The sequence below is a fragment of the Homo sapiens genome, chromosome 6 (genome assembly GCF_000001405.40).
Source record: "Homo sapiens chromosome 6, GRCh38.p14 Primary Assembly".
In the NCBI taxonomy this organism is placed as follows: Eukaryota; Metazoa; Chordata; class Mammalia; order Primates; family Hominidae; genus Homo; species Homo sapiens.
The window spans coordinates 121,091,742-121,108,244 of NC_000006.12; the positions used below are offsets into that span (position 1 = coordinate 121,091,742).

General features: G+C 34.3%; 1 protein-coding gene across 14 annotated transcripts in view, besides 2 other annotated features; it reads right to left on the minus strand.

The window, feature by feature from the left end:
* TBC1D32 (TBC1 domain family member 32) overlaps positions 1–16,503 on the minus strand; it is a 255,236-nt gene that overhangs the window by 12,248 nt on the left and 226,485 nt on the right. For 13 of the 14 annotated variants that reach the window (NR_104452.2, XM_047418311.1, NM_001367759.1 and 10 more), the window contains one exon: positions 14,282–14,422. Coding sequence is in view for 13 of the 14 variants with exons in the window: in XM_047418311.1 (XP_047274267.1) it covers positions 14,282–14,422 (141 nt within the window). In the remaining variant the exon portion in view is untranslated. Of the gene's footprint in view, positions 1–14,281; positions 14,423–14,502; positions 14,562–14,646; positions 14,721–16,503 lie in introns of those variants that run through there. The other variant, XM_047418312.1, reaches the window with a different exon arrangement.
* Positions 2,329–2,498: an enhancer, noted in NCBI's record as "experimental_88787 CRE fragment used in MPRA reporter constructs". NCBI's record gives its function as "activates a minimal promoter by MPRAs in K562 erythroleukemia cells, with activity observed for the introgressed 6:121415301 or rs76392801 variant allele {active_cell/tissue: K562}" and the evidence as "EXISTENCE:reporter gene assay evidence [ECO:0000049][PMID:34662402]".
* Position 2,414: a transcriptional cis regulatory region, noted in NCBI's record as "Neanderthal adaptively introgressed variant 6:121415301 (GRCh37/hg19 assembly coordinates) or rs76392801 in the experimental_88787 CRE". NCBI's record gives its function as "modulates activity of the experimental_88787 enhancer by MPRAs in K562 erythroleukemia cells {active_cell/tissue: K562}" and the evidence as "EXISTENCE:reporter gene assay evidence [ECO:0000049][PMID:34662402]".

Genomic DNA, 16,503 nt, shown 5'->3' on the forward strand with positions numbered 1-16,503 from the left:
AAAGTTGAGCCCCACTCAAAAGATATGTCAAAGCCCTAACCCCCAGAACCTCATAATACAACTTTATTCGAAAATAGGGTCTTTACAGACGTAATCAGGTTAAAATGAGGTCATTACGGTGAGCCCTAATCCAATACGACTGGTGTCTTTATAAGAAGGGGAAATACAGTCACAAAGACAGGCAGACAAAAGGAAGACAATGAAAAGACACAAATGGAGAACACCATGTGAAGAAGCAATATGTATCTGCAAGCTAAGATTCTAAAGGCTGCTAGAAACCAGGAGAGAGGTAAGTAACAGTTCTTTCCTTAGCAACTATGGAGTGAACATAGCCTTGTTAACACTTTGATTATGGCCTTTTGGCTCCAGAACTGTGAGAAAATAAATTTCTGTTGTTTTTAGCCACCAAGTTCATGGTACTTTGTTACTATAGTCATAAGAAACAAACACAACTACTTTCCAATATTTTCATTTTCATTTATGATTTACAAATTACTTTACCTTCGACAAAAGATTCCCCTTATTGAATATCTCTTCTCCTTCAGTTTTATGTTTTTTTTTTTTTTTTTTTTTTTTTTTTTTGGAGATGTGGGGAGGAAAAGGGAAAAGATTTAATGGCTTATCTCAATTTGTCATAGGTATAGAGGATACAGATATACAAAATTTCCTTTTGTTTTCTATCATTTTGTTTTTCTAAAAACATATTCTTGAAAAGGTTCTAAAAGTTGTTTTTTATATCCTTGATTCAACCTTTTGGCATGCTGATCCTGCTTTTAACTGACTTGAACAAACTAACACGTATTAGTTTGCTAGAACCACAGGCAGGGGGGGCTTAAACAATAAAAAATTATTTTCTCACTATTCTGGAAAAATCCAAGATCAAGCTATTGGCAGGGCTGGTTTCTTCTGAAGCCTCTCTGAGGCTTATAGATGGTTGTCTTTCCCTGTGTCTTCACATGGACTTCCCTTAGTACATGTCTGTGTCCCAATTTCCGCTTTAATAAAGACACTTGTGATATTGGATTACGGTCCAACTTAATGACCTCATTTTAACTTAATTACTTCTTTAAAGGCCCTATTCAAATATAGTCACATTCTGAAGTAGTGGGGTTAGGATTTCAACAGGTGAGTTTTGAACAGACACAATTCAGCCTATACCAGAGGGTATTATTGAATTTTTGTTTTCCAGACATTATTACTCATATCAATTATTAACCTTTAAATAAGGCTATTAATTCTGTTCTCAGGTGTTAAGAGTTTCCTTTACAACTATAATGTTCCCCTCCTGTTAAGTTCCAAAATCTTTCCAAAGAGCCCATAAGTTTTAACTCAATATTAAATTAGAATATATCTATGAATACCCAATATTTGTCAACAGGCAGTATATATTAAATTCTCCTTGGTCCTACTTTACTGTTTACTTGGAATTAATAGGATGCATCTCCCAAATTGCAACATGGAGGGTAGGTTGGCATGCAGAGTACGTTACTAAATCTCCATTGCCCAGACCCCAATAAATCCCTGTAATATGGCTCTAGTGGACTGAGGAAGAAGTATCTCCTGCTCCCTCTCGACTAGGCAGACTGAAGCAGTCAGTAGTACTTTGACTAGAAGCAATAATTCCTTAATTGCCTGTTGCCCTGCTGCCAAGATTCTCTCTCTGTTCTTTGCTACAGCTATTAATGCCAATCAACTTAAGGCCATACTGTGTTAATGAAAATCTAGAGTCTCTGGATGGATAACGAAGGAGAAACAATTCGAGAATGAAAATAAATACAAACGATCTCCACAGCTAGAGAAAACAGTTCCCACTCAATTGTTAGTTTCAGGAGTGAATGGGAAGTTGATAAAGGTGTGGGGTCTCAGCTTCTGTCCACCATATGCATTGGTTAAAGGAAAGTCACCCTAGAATCTGCAACAGTTCATTATTATACATAGTTTCTAATGCAGTTATAATTTTTTGGCATGTATATACATTCAAGCATTGTTTCCTGTACATTGTCTTTTTCTTCATTAAATGGATATAATACCTATATTTTTCCATCACATGGGAGGGAAATTTCGAGGAGGAAAACTGAGAGACTGTAACAGAAAGTACTTTGAAAAAGTGCTATATAAATGTTATTTTATAACAAAGGTATAGATGTTATTATTTAACAAATATTTTTTGACCACCTAATATGTACAAGGTAATATTATCATTTTTTATGTGAACAAAAGAAATTTATCCCAGTTTCACAAAGTTTACAATTAAAGGGGAGACATCCTTTTTAAACATATGACCCTCTTTGCTTGGTAGAAATTATATTGGCTTTACTATATTTGCAAGTACTTCAGACTTACATTGAAACAGCAGAATTCCAAAACACCATATCCCTGGAAGAATGCTGAGCTATGAGTCATAAATTTTAATCTCTGAGCAAGTAACTTCTGTATTTTTTTTTTTGAGACAGTCTCACTCCATCACCCAGGCTGGAGTGCAGTGGTGCAATCTCAGCTCACTGCAACCTCTGCCTCCTGAGTTCAAATGATTCTCATGCCTCAGCCTCTTGAGTAGGTGGGATTACAGGTGTGTGCCAAGACCCCAGCTAATTTTTGTACTTTTAGTAGAGACAGGGTTTCACCATGTTGGTCAGGCTGGTCTCAAACTCCTGACCTCAAGTGATCCATCCATCTCAGCCTCCCAAAGTGGTGGGATTACCTGCATGAACCACCACACCTGGCCACTTCTGTATTTTTATAAAGTTCTGCAAATCAACTGACAACCTAGAATTCTAATAGGACAGAAGAAATAGTATGTGTCCAAACAAACATGATGTAGTTTTTTCTTTAACAATTATTATGGAATTTTTAAAAACATATATAAAGGAAGATAGAATAGTACATGAACTAGACAATTTCAAATTTTGCTTGGTTGATTTGTGTCTTAAGTTACTTTTCTCCTATAGGTTCCCCTCCTTTCCTCCATCCCTTTCTCCTACTAAAGATGTTTCCTCCAACTGCATAATATTCCATTGTAGATAAACCACAATTTATTCAATCAAGCCCCATTCATGGACATTTGCAGTGTTTCTAGTCTTTAGATACTATAAAGAATACTATAATAACATATTTGTGGATACGTATTTTCAAATTTTTTTCCCAGTGTATTCCTCGGTTAGAGCTCTACAAATGAGTCTGCTGTGTTAAACAATAAATAGACATGTAATTCTGCCAGAAAATGACAAATTACCATTTATATGTCTCAAAAATACATTATTACATTTTCAAAAACGATCAGTTGAGTCTTTATATTCACTGGAAAAAAATGCTATTATCAATAGTAATGAAATGGGCTTATAAAGAAAGTGAAACAAATGAATTTTGTTTTATGGTAAACCACCATTCCATAAATAATATAGAACTAATTACACTTTAAGACATTTAAATAGCTTTTTAGGTTTGTAAGGAAGGAAAATCACTTGCACAATATGCATTGAAATCTACCACAGCTTTCCTAGGCAATTTTGTTCTTGAACCATACTTAACATTATGCCAGAGGACATTAAGATGCCACACTGAGGTGCACATTATTTTATCTGAGGTAAATTATTCCTCCTTGTAACTAGAATTAAAAAACAATCTTCAAAGGTTCTCATAAGAACATTACATCTTCCTCTTTTCCTATTTGAATACCCTTTATTTCTTTCTCTTGCCTGATTGCCCTGGCCAGAACTTCCAACACTATGTTGAATAGGAGTGGTGAGAGAGGACATCCTTGTCTTGTGTTGGTATTCAAAGGGAATGCTTCCAGTTTCTGCCCATTCAGCATGATATTGGCTGTGAGTTTGTCATAAATAGCTCTTATTATTTTGAGATACGTTCCATCAATACCTAGTTTATTGCGAGTTTTTAGCATGAAGGGGTGCTGAATTTTGTCGAAGGCTTTTACTGCACCTATTGAGATAATCGTGGTTTTTGTCATTAGTTCTGTTTACGTGATGGATTACATTTATTGATTTGCGTATGTTGAACCAGTCTTGCATCCCAGGGATGAAGCCGACTTGATTGTGGTGGATAAGCTTTTCGATGTGCTACTGGATTTGCTTTGCCAGTATTTTATTGAGGATTTTTGCATCGATATTCATCAGGCATATTGGCCTAAAATTTTCTTTTTTGTGTGTGTCTCTGCCAGGTTTTGGTATCAGGATGATGCTGGCCTTATAAAATGAGTTAGGGAGGATTCCCTCTTCTTCTATTGTTTGGAATAGTTTCAGAAGGAATGGCACCAGCTCCTCTTTGTACCTCTGGGTAGAATTCGGCTGTGAATTGGTCTGGTTCTGGACTTTTTTTGGTTGGTAGGGTATTAATTACTGCCATAATTTTTGAACTTATTATTGATCTATTCAGGGATTCAATTTCTTCCTGGTTTAGTCTTGGGAGGGTGTATGTGTCCAGGAATTTATCCATTTCTTCTAGATTTTCTAGTTTATTTGTGTAGAGGTGTTTATAATATTCTCTGATGGTACTTTGTATTTCTGTGGGATCAATGGTGATACTGTACATTTAGAAAACCCCACCATCTCAGCCCAAAATCTCCTTAAGCTGATAAGCAACTTCAGCAAAGTCTCAGGATACAAAATCAACATGCAAAAATCACAAGCATTCCTATACACCAATAACAGACAAACAGAGAGCCAAATCATGAGTGAACTTCCATTCACAATTGCTACAAAGAAAATAAAATACCTAGGAATACAATTTACAAGGGATGTGAAGGACCTCTGCAAGTAGAACTACAAACCACTGATCAAGGAAATAAGAGAGGACACAAACAAATGGAAAAACATTCCATGCTCATGGATAGGAAGAATCAATATCATGAAAATGGCCATACTGCCCAAAGTAATTTATAGATTCAATGCTATTCCCATCAAGCTACCAATGACTTTCTTCATAGAACTGGAAAAAACTACTTTAAAGTTCATACGGAACCAAAAAAGATCCCACATTGCCAAGACAATCCTAAGCCAAAAGAACAAAGCTGGAGGCATCACGCTACCTGACTTCAAACTATACTACAAGGCTACAGTAACCAAAACAACATGGTAGTGGTACCAAAACAGATATATAGACCAATTGAACAGAACAGAGGCCTCAGAAATAACACCACACATCTACAACCATCTGTTCTTTAACAAACCTGACAAAAACAAGCAGTGGGGAAAGGATTCCCTATTTAATAAATGGTGCTGGGAAAACTGGCTAGCCATATGCAGAAAACTGAAACTGGACCCCTTCCTTATACTTTATACAAAAATTAACTCAAGATTGATTAAAGACTTAAACATAAGACCTCAAATTATAAAAACCCTAGAAGAAAACCTAGGCAATACCATTCAGAACATAGGCATGGGCAAGGACTTCATGACTAAAACACCAAAAGCAATGGCAATAAAAGCCGAAATTGACAAATGGGATCTAATTAAACTAAAGAGCTTCTGCACAGAAAAAGAAAATATCATCAAAGTGAATAGGCAACCTACAGAATGGGAAAAAATTTTTGCAATCTATCCATCTGACAGAGGGCTAATATCCAGAATCTACAAAGAACTCAAAAAAATTTACAAGAAAAAACAACCCCATCAAAAAGTGGGCAAAGGATATGAACAGACACTTCTCAAAAGAAGACATTTATGCAGCCAACAAACATATGAAAAAAAGTTCATTATCACTGGTCATTAAAGAAATGCAAATCAAAACCACAATGAGATACCATCTCATGCCAGTTAGAATGGCAATCATTCAAAAGTCAGGAAACAACAGATGCTGGAGAGGATGTGGAGAAATAGGAACACTTTTACACTTTTGGTGGGAGTGTAAATTAGTTCAACCATTGTGGAAGACAGTGTGGAGATTCCTCAAGGATCTAGAACTAGAAATACCATTTGACCCAGCCATCCCATTACTGGTTATATACTGAAAGGATTATAAATCATGCTGCTATAAAGACACATGCACACGTATGTTTATAGCGGCACTATTCACAATAGCAAAGACTTGGAACCAACCCAAATTTCCATCAATGATAATAGACTGGATTAGGAAAATGTGGCACATATACACCATGGAATAGTATGCAGCCATAAAAAGGATGAGTTCATGTCCTTTGTAGGGACATGGATGAAGCTGGAAACCATCATTCTCAGCAAACTAACACAAGAACAGAAAACTAAACACTGCATCTTCTCACTCATAAGTGGGAGGTGAACAATGAGAACACATGGACACAGGGGAGGGGAACATGACAGACTGGGGCCTATTGGGGAGTGGGGGCCTAGGGGAGGGAGAGCATTAGGAGAAATACCTAATGTAGATGATGGGTTGATGGGTGCAACAAACCACCATGGTATATGTATACCTATGTAACAAACCTGTATGTTCTGCACATGTATCCCAGAACTTAAAGTAGAATAATAATAATAATAATAATAATAATAAAACATTAAGTCAAAAAAGTTTGGTTAAAACAATTACCTACAGATGCTTGATTAAGCCAAAATAGGTATGATTTATAAATGATAAAGTTTTCTGATTCAAAGACACTATTTTTAACAACTCCTCTGGCTTCATCTGCTTTCATCATAGAAGAAGTACCAGTAAAGTAAGGAAGAAAACTAACTTTGGAATAAAAGTGGTTTCAAGTCCTTACACTATCGGAATGACCTCCGCAAGTCAATTCACTTCATTGATCGTGAATTTCTCCATGTGTCACACAATAAAGGTTAAAATTTTAAATGAAAAAAGAACCACTCTTTATACTATGAAGCAACATGAAAAACGTAAGACTATTTCTGTTGCACTTCTAGGCAAAACACTGTGTCAGAAAATCAAGGGACCTGAAGTGAGGCACATATATATCCATACCTTTAAAGATCTTCAACTAAAAAGAGCAAGACAAAGAATACAAATAATGCACATGTGTTTCTACTAAAAGAGGGGTACAGAAGCAGTGTACAAAGTGTGTACAAAGCAGTGTACAAACACAGAGCAAAATCATCCACTTGTATATGATCCAGGATATTTCCATTTGGACATATATTAAAGGATAAGTACTGACAAGCAAAAATAACTCACAGGAAGGGAGAAGGTATCATCTCAAGGCGCAACATCCAAAACATGAAGAGAGTGAAGACATACACATTTATAAAGACATATGCCTTTATAAATCTGACTCTGAACAAGGGCCATGCCCAGCATTCATATCCTGCTTTGCATTTGTATAATTTTACATTTTCAAAAAGCAATGTGTCACAAAAAAATAATGAAACAGTTTTCTATAATCCTGCTTTCATAATAGGGGGAAAAAGAGCAAATGAGAAAATCCATGCAGGTTTTTATACTTTATATCCAGGGGATTATCTGTGTTAGCCTAATTGTTGACATAGTACAATATAATAATCAAAGATGTGCAGGATAGTGACTCCAAGGAATTATAAAAGATGAATCATTAAAGATACATGGTACTTCTTAAGCCAGGAAAATGAACAAAATACAGTAAGACTTTTTTTAACAGAAGATAAAATTGGTCATAAAGTTAATTAGAATATGTGATTTTCTGTTGCTCATTTAAAAATAATATATATTCAAATTTCTATTTTCTTTCCAAACTTAGTAATTACCAAAAGAAACTATACAACAAATATGCATTTCTTGCTACATTTAATTTTTTGTACTCTAGTTGAGCTTATTTTTACTTTAGAGATCTGTGTATTTCATTTAGCAATCTGCCTACAAATCCTTCACTAATCAACCAATTCCTCAGTGCCTAAAAATACACAACTTCAAAAAGCACTGCTTCTAATTAGATCAAAATGAATAAGGTATGAAATTTGTATCCAAATAATTACTTAATCACATATACCCACTTAGTTACTTAAAAGCTGTTTTCATATTTTATAATTAGCAATAAAATGGTAAATAATATCAACAGAGCAATGATACGATTTCTTAAGACAGATTAACTCACATGGGGAGTCATTAAAAGGACATTTTTACATTACCTTAAAAGAAAGAATAGCATTACTGTTTCAAAATAATGAAGTGGTTGTTATTAAATAAATCTGCTATTTGTATGTAGTTTCAAACTAATACAAATATATAAAACTGATAAAGATATATCCAATTACTAGATGGATAGTCTCTTTTTAATCACTAAATTAATATAGCAGGGCTTGAGGTATAGCAAGGTTTTCCCATAGTCTTTGTTAGTCAAGTTTTAAATTAAAGAGTATATGGTATGTACCCAGTAGTCATTCAGGAGCAGATCGTTTGGTTTCCATGTAGTTGAGCGGTTTTGAGTGAGTTTCTTAATCCTGAGTTCTACTTTAATTGCACTGTGGTCTGAGAGACAGTTTGTTACAATTTCTGTTCTTTTACATTTGCTGAAGAGTGCTTTACTTCCAACTATGTGGTCAATTTTGGAATAAGTGCGATGTGGTGCTGAGAAGAATGTATATTCTGCTGATATGGGGTGGAGAGTTCTGTAGATGTCTATTAGGTCCGATTGGTGCAGAGCTGAGTTCAATTCCTGGATATCCTTTTTAACTTTCTGTCTCATTGATCTGTCTAATGTTGACAGTGGTGTGTTAAAGTCTCCCATTATTATTGTGTGGGAGTCTCAGTCTCTTTGTAGGTCTCTAAGGACTTGCTTTATGAATCTGAGTGCTCCTGTATTGGGTGCATATATATTTAGGATACTTAGCTCTTCTTGTTGAATTGATCCCTTTCAGAAATAAAGATGTTCTTTGAAACCAATGAGAACAAAGACACAACATACCAGAATCTCTGGGACACATTTAAAGCAGTGTGTAGAGGGAAATTTATAGCACTAAATGCCCACAAGAAAAAGCAGGAAAGATCTAAAATTGACACCCTAACATCACAATTAAAAGAACTAGAGAAGCAAGAGCAAACACATTCAAAAGCTAGCAGAAGGCAAGAAATAACGAAGATCAGAGCAGACCTGAAGGAGACAGAGAAACAAAAAACCCTTCAAAAAATCAATGAATCCAGGAGCTGTTTTTTTGAAAAGATCAACAAGATTGATAGACTGCTAGCCAGACTAATAAAGAAGGAAAGAGAGAAGCATCAAATAGACGCAATAAAAAATGATAAAGGGGATATCAACACCGATCCCACAGAAATACAAACTACCATCAGAGAATACTATAAACAACTCTATACAAATAAACTAGAAAATCTAGAAGAAATGGATAAATTCCTGGACACATACACCCTCCCAAGACTAAACCAGGAAGAAGTTGAATTCCTGAATCGACCAATAACGGGCTCTGAAATTGAGGCAATAATTAATAGCTTACCAACCAAAAAAAGTCCAGGACCAGATGGATTCACAGCCGAATTCTACCAGAGGTACAAGGAGGAGCTGGTACCATTCCTTCTGAAACTATTCCAATTAATAGAAAAAGAGGGAATCCTCCCGAACTCATTTTATGAGGCCAGCATCATCCTGATATCAAAGCCGGTCAGAGACACAACAAAAAGAGAGAATTTTAGACCAATATCCCTGATGAACATGGATGCAAAAATCCTCAATAAAATACTGGCAAACCAAATCCAGTAGCAAATCAAAAAGTTGATCCACCAAGATCAAGTGGGCTTCATCCATGGGATGCGAAGCTGGTTCAACATATGAAAATCAATAAATGTAATCCATCACATAAACTGAACCAAAGACAAAAACCACATGGTTACCTCAATAGATGCAGAAAAGGCCTTTGACAAAATTCAACAGCCCTTCATGCTAAAAACTCTCAATAAATTAGGTATTGATGGGACGTATCTCAAAATAATAAGAGCTATTTATGGAAAACTCACAGCCAGTATCACACTGAATGGGCAAAAACTGGAAGCATTCCCTTTGAAAACTGGCACAAGACAGGGATGCCCTCTCTCACCACTCCTATTCAACATAGTGTTGGAAGTTCTGGCCAGGGCATTCAGGCAAGAGAAAGAAATAAAGGGTATTCAATTAGGAAAAGAGGAAGTCAAATTGTCCCTGTTTGCAGATGACATGATTGTATATTTAGAAAACCCCATTGTCTCAGCCCAAAATCTCCTTAAGCTGAAAAGCAACTTCAGCAAAGTCTCAGGATACAAAATCATTGTACAAAAATCACAAGCATTCTTATACACCGATAACAGACAAACAGAGAGCCAAATCCTGAGTGAACTCCCATTCACAATTGCTTCAAAGAGAATAAAATACCTAGGAATCCAACTTACAAGAGATGTGAAGGACCTCGTCAAGGAGAACTACAAACCACTACTCAACGAAATAAAAGAGAATACAAACAAATGAAAGAACATTCCATGCTCATGGATAGGAAGAATCAACACCGTGAAAATGGCCATACTGCCCGAGGTAACTGATAGATTCAGTGCCATCCCCATCTAGCTACCAATGACTTTCTTCACAGAATTGGATAAAACTACTTTAAAGTTCATGTGGAACCAGAAAAGATCCCACATTGCCAAGACAATCCTAAGCCAAAAGAACAAAGCTGGAGGCATCATGCTACCTGACTTCAAACTATACTACAAGGCTACAGTAACCAAAACAGCATGGTACTGGTACCAAAACAGAGACACAGACCAATGGAACAGAACACAGCCCTCAGAAATAATACCACACATCTACAACCATCTGATCTTTGACAAACCTGACAAAAACAAGAAATGGGGAAACAATTCCCTATTTAATAAATGGTGCTGGGAAAACTGGCTAGCCATATGTAGAAAGCTGAAACTGCATCCCTTCCTTACATCTTATACAAAAATTAATTCAAGATGGATTAAAGACTTAAATGTTAGACCTAAAACCATAAAAACCCTGGAAGAAAACCTAGGCAATACCATTCAGGACATAGGCATGGGCAAGGACTTCATGACTAAGACACCAAAAGCAATGGCAACAAAAGCCAAAATTGACAAATGGGATCTAATTAAACTAAAGAGCTTCTGCACAGCAAAAGAAACTACCATCAGAGTGAACAGGCAACCTACAGAATGAGAGAAAATTTTTGCAATCTACTCATCTGACAAAGGGCTAATATCCAGAATCTACAAAGAACTCAAACAAACTTACAAGAAAAGAACAAATAACCCCATCAAAAAGAAGGATATGAACAGACACTTCTCAAAAGAAGACATTTATGCAGCCAACAGACACATGAAAAACTGCTCATCATCACTGGCCATCAGAGAAATGCAAATCAAAACCACAATGAGATACCATCTCATGCCAGTTAGAATGGAGATCATTAAAAAGTCAAGAAACAACAGGTGCTGGAGAGGATGTGGAGAAATAGGAACACTTTTACACTGTTGGTGGGACTGTAAACTAGTTCAACCATTGTGGAAGACAGTGTGGCAATTCCTCAACGATCTAGAACTAGAAATACCATTTGACCCAGCCATCCCATTACTGGTTATATACTGAAAGGATTATAAATCATGCTGCTGTAAGGACACATGCACACGTATGTTTATAGCGACACTATTCACAATAGCAAAGACTTGGAACCAACCCAAATATCCATCAATGATAGACTCGATTAGGAAAATGTGGCACATATATACCATGGAATACTATGCAGCCATAAAAAAGGATGAGTTCATGTCCTTTGTAGGGACATGGATGAAGCTGGAAACCATCATTCTCAGCAAACTATTGCAAGGACAGAAAACCAAACACTGCATGTTCTCACTCATAGGTGGGAATTGAACAACGAGAACACATAGACACAGGAAGGGGAACATTACACTCTGGGGCCTGTTGTAGGGAGGGGGGAGGGGGGAGGGATAGCTTTAGGAGATATACCTAATGTAAATGACGAGTTAATGGGTGCAGAACACCAACATGGCACATGTATACATATATAACAAACCTGCACGTTGTGCACATGTACCCTAGAACTTAAAGAATATATAACAAAAGAGTATATGGTAGAGATTTATAAATTATTGGATGCTTTAGACAATACACATTACACTAACGTAGATTAGAAAAGCAAAAGGGAACTCTCAGGAAGATACTGTTCCCAGTTGAGCTTTTTAGAAGAATAGAAAGAATTGATTATTGAGCTTATGGTAAATGTTTAAACAACTGCCTCTGACTAGACTTAAAAAATTTTGTGATTTAAAGTTCTAAAAAATGTTTTAGGTATATATAGCAAGAGCAAAAATTGGCCAAGGAAGAGTATTCCTTTACACTACATGCAATTCATTGCTATATTTAAATTTCTTATTAACTTCAGAAAGTTTAAAATAGGAAGAATAATCTCATACAAATAAATTTAATAAATGATATAAAGTTTCTTCAAAATAAATATGAAAGCTCATATCATAATATCAAGAAAAACTACTGTCTAATTAAGTGGAAAAGATTCCCTATAGGATAAATCTAAGGAATGCAAGGATATTTTACTATTAAGAAGTCTATTACTGTATCACATAAAAATATCAAAGAAGTCCCAGGATCAACTTAATCTTAATCATAGAATATATTGGTGAAATTCAACACTATAATTTAATTAAAAGAAATGAGATAAAATTCAATACTTTAGAAACCAAGACTGGAAGGATTCTTCTATAGCACTGATGTAGAATAATTCTCTCTAATAGACTCTACTTAACGATAACATGCTGGATAAATTCTCAATAATTCAAGTCTAAAACATATAAACAATTATGTAGAATTATTTTGGAAGAACTAGATAATTTAATAAAAATAAAATGAAACAAAGTACATTAACATTACAAAGATGGAGAAGATAAGTAAGTTGACACAAGTCTAGAAAAAATATAACAATGAATATAAAAAGATATATATTTAGTAATTATTAACCATAGGCAAAGAGAAAATAAAATTGAAACAGATCTCAAACTACACTCACTGGCAATATCTGTAATGAGAAATGTACCATATCCATGTGGAAAAAGAAATGGTTTTACTAGATATGATACAGAACAAACAAATGGAAAAGCTTACTATCTTCCTAGATAGACTGAGTATAATAACACAATTTTTCTCCAAGTAATTTATAATTTAACATAATAGCAATCTAAGTCTGATCCAAATTTAAATGGCCAGTTTAAATTGAGCAAACTCATCTCAAAGTATATGTAGTATATACAGAAATAGTTAATTAACTTTTTAGAGGAAAGTAGAAAGTAAATGATAGGCTTATTCTTACTCAACATTAAGACATAATACAAAGTTACAATAAGTAATATATAATTTAGGAATTGAAGCAATTTGGACAGTTGTTGCTACTTTAAAATATCTACAAATCAATAAGAAACACTCTAAGATAGGTGGGCAATTAATGACATTCAATTAGTTAACAAAATTATGGACATATCATTAAACTTACTAATGTTCAAAGAAACACAAAATTTTTAAAAGGGTAACAATTTTCACCTATTAAATTAGTGATTATTTTTGAAAAAACCAAATACCCAAACATGAAGAATAGGGACAGTCTTCATTTCCGTTAGGAGAATAAAATCAAATTCATTTGATAATATGAGTCACGAGCCTTAAAACTATTAATAGTTACAACTTTAGATGAAGTATCTCTGCTCTCTCAGACCCTGACCTAAAGATTTAATTCTAAAGAGAGATGAAGGTTTAAACCCTACAATATTAATTTTAGCCTAATTATAACATAGTGAAGCAACAATGCACACCTCCACCAACGAAGGACTGGCTATACACAGAAAGAAGGATCTGTGGCTGTATATGACCACCAAGGTTGTGCACTGTGTAACTTGAGGCCCTAGAAAAAAACATTAAGCCTTCCTAGATCCCGACAGTAGAAACCAAGCTGAGGCATACAGGTTAATCCGCGGGGATTTTTTGTTAGATAAGACACAGTATATCATATACAAAACAATGCTGGTAAGAATTCTTGCCCTCTGTTACCTCAGTTAATCACTGGCATTACAAAGCAAGTATTACCATCTCCATTAAAAAGCCTACATGTCATACAGACTTTCAGAAGGTCTATGCCCTGAATAGCTGAAATTCTGTGAATGGTAGAAAGCATTATAAAGCAAACTTACATCATAACAGGCCTGGGGAGAAAAGCTAGCTTGAGGATTTTAAATACACTTTTATTAATTTAAAGGTATTTCCTTATTTGATGAGAACACAGTTTTATTTGAAGACACTGAGATAAAGGAGTTGGAGAAATGCTACTCCCTTATGGATTACCTGTGATGGTGCAAAACCAGACATGTGAAAAGCTGAAAACACAAGAGGCAACTCAGCCTTCAGTAGCATTTCAATATAATGGGTGCTGCAAAAATATACTGGATGGATGCCAGATTCTACAGTGTCATTAGGAAGGTAACTCTGCATAAAAGAGAAAAATTAAAAATTTTATTAATTTTATTATTTAATAAATATAGATCATTTAAAATAATCCAACATACCTATTTTCCTTTTGCTGTAAATTGCTGCTTCAAAATTAATATGGTGGCATAACAAATCACTGTAAATAAAATTATGTAAAGTAAAAAGTCAGAATGTTAAACAGTGTTGAAAGAAGAAATTTTGATAAAGGCAGTGTTATATACCTTCCAAGACTCAGGAAAAAAGTTAATAATTTATAATCTTGGCAACTTAAATCCTTGTGGAAAGATGAGGAGGGCTGTTACATGAAAGAATAAATACACATATAAGTGAGTACACGAGTAATACTTTACATTTTAATACTAAGTGTACTGAAATATGCTTAATATTCTTGGCTTTGGCCAATGATTCTATAATGTCAAAGGATTTTAGCTTTGTCAGCTGTTGAAGATATTTGCATTGTACCCTTTACTATGTTGATATTAGCCTAAATCTGACCCTGAATTAATAATAATTCAAATTGGGAATGATTTGAGAAACTCATCTCTAAAACTGGGAAAGAAGTGCACAAGGCATTCCCATCAAGGTTCTCAGGCCAACTATTTTGTATAAAATTTATGTTTATTTCCATATAATTTTATATTGATAGTTACTTATATATATGTGAATATATACACACATCTATATTTACAAACATATTGTTTATTTTTTCAATTTAGTTCTTAGGCACAATTTATCATTGCAAATGATCAATAATGTACTGTGTATTACTATAAAGCCAACATATACCCATAATAATTGTTTTTTAACAAAGAGTAATAAACCTGAAGATACAATTTTAGGTAAAGAAAAACTGTTCAACTAGCAATTATATCAACAAAAAAAGTTAATCAAATTAGATCTGAAGACTTTACATAGTTAAAAGACTGCCAAAAAGGCATCTTATCTTCTTGCTTTTACTGGACAAATCTTATTTTCAAACTTTTTAAATAAAGTTAATGCTTTTAAATTAAAACAAATTAAACTCATAGCAATTATATGAGTTGAAATACAGAAGATTTATGTAAAGCCTTATTGCTAATGCTAGGATGCTTTTAAGAATTTAGGTTTGAGTTATACACTAAAGTTTCTGAAATCAGCAAGTTGATTTACAGTGGTTTTTCGGTTTTATCATTCATCATAAATGACTTATTTCACATTGCAGAAATATATATTTGTAGAAACATAAATATTTATGTAAATGTATATTTATGAAGGTTTCTCCAGGAGATACCTCACAGCACTTGAAAAAAACATTATTTTTGTGCATTAATGAATGAAGCATAGCACAGTAAATGGATATCTTGTAGCCAACTTTATATCGATATGTAGAACAAAAAGAAAACTTTTTACTGAGTTGTTAAAATAATAATATGGACTGAATGAGAAACAGTATCCATTGATTTATCTTCTTTTGTGAAATATTGCAATGTGTTTCACTAATGACTATTTGTAGAATGACTAAATCTAATAGGCATATATGAAAACAAAAATCAACTCATAAGTGTATTTTAGTTTTTCCATGCAAACTTAGGTAATAATTTTCTGAATACATGTCTAATAGTAGCATAAGAGTTCTATGTATAGGAAATGATTCATATGCAGTGTCTTTTCTAGGCTACATTAGAAATACCTTTAGAGTAGGTCCATTAAGAGATAAAGACAATAGATTTATTAATTATATTTTCAAGGAAAATAAGTTATTGTTATGTAATGGACTCCCTGAATTGAGGTAAGAGTTCTTCTACTCTTATAAATTAGACTCTGTTGGAAGAAAGTTTGCCATACTTTGTGGTAACACAGCTCCTGATACCAAGCCTTGCATAGAATAGATGCTCAACATATTATTGACTGAATGCCAAGAAGAAAATACACTAATGATTGCACACACAGACTGCACAGTATGCAATCATTAGTGTTTTTTCTTTTTGTCATAAAGTAAGCTCACTTATATAAAAAGTTTCATTAGTTGGTCTATTAATTACCATTTCATGCCTCTATTTTACAGTAAACATTGTTCATAAAACTAGATCAATAGTGAG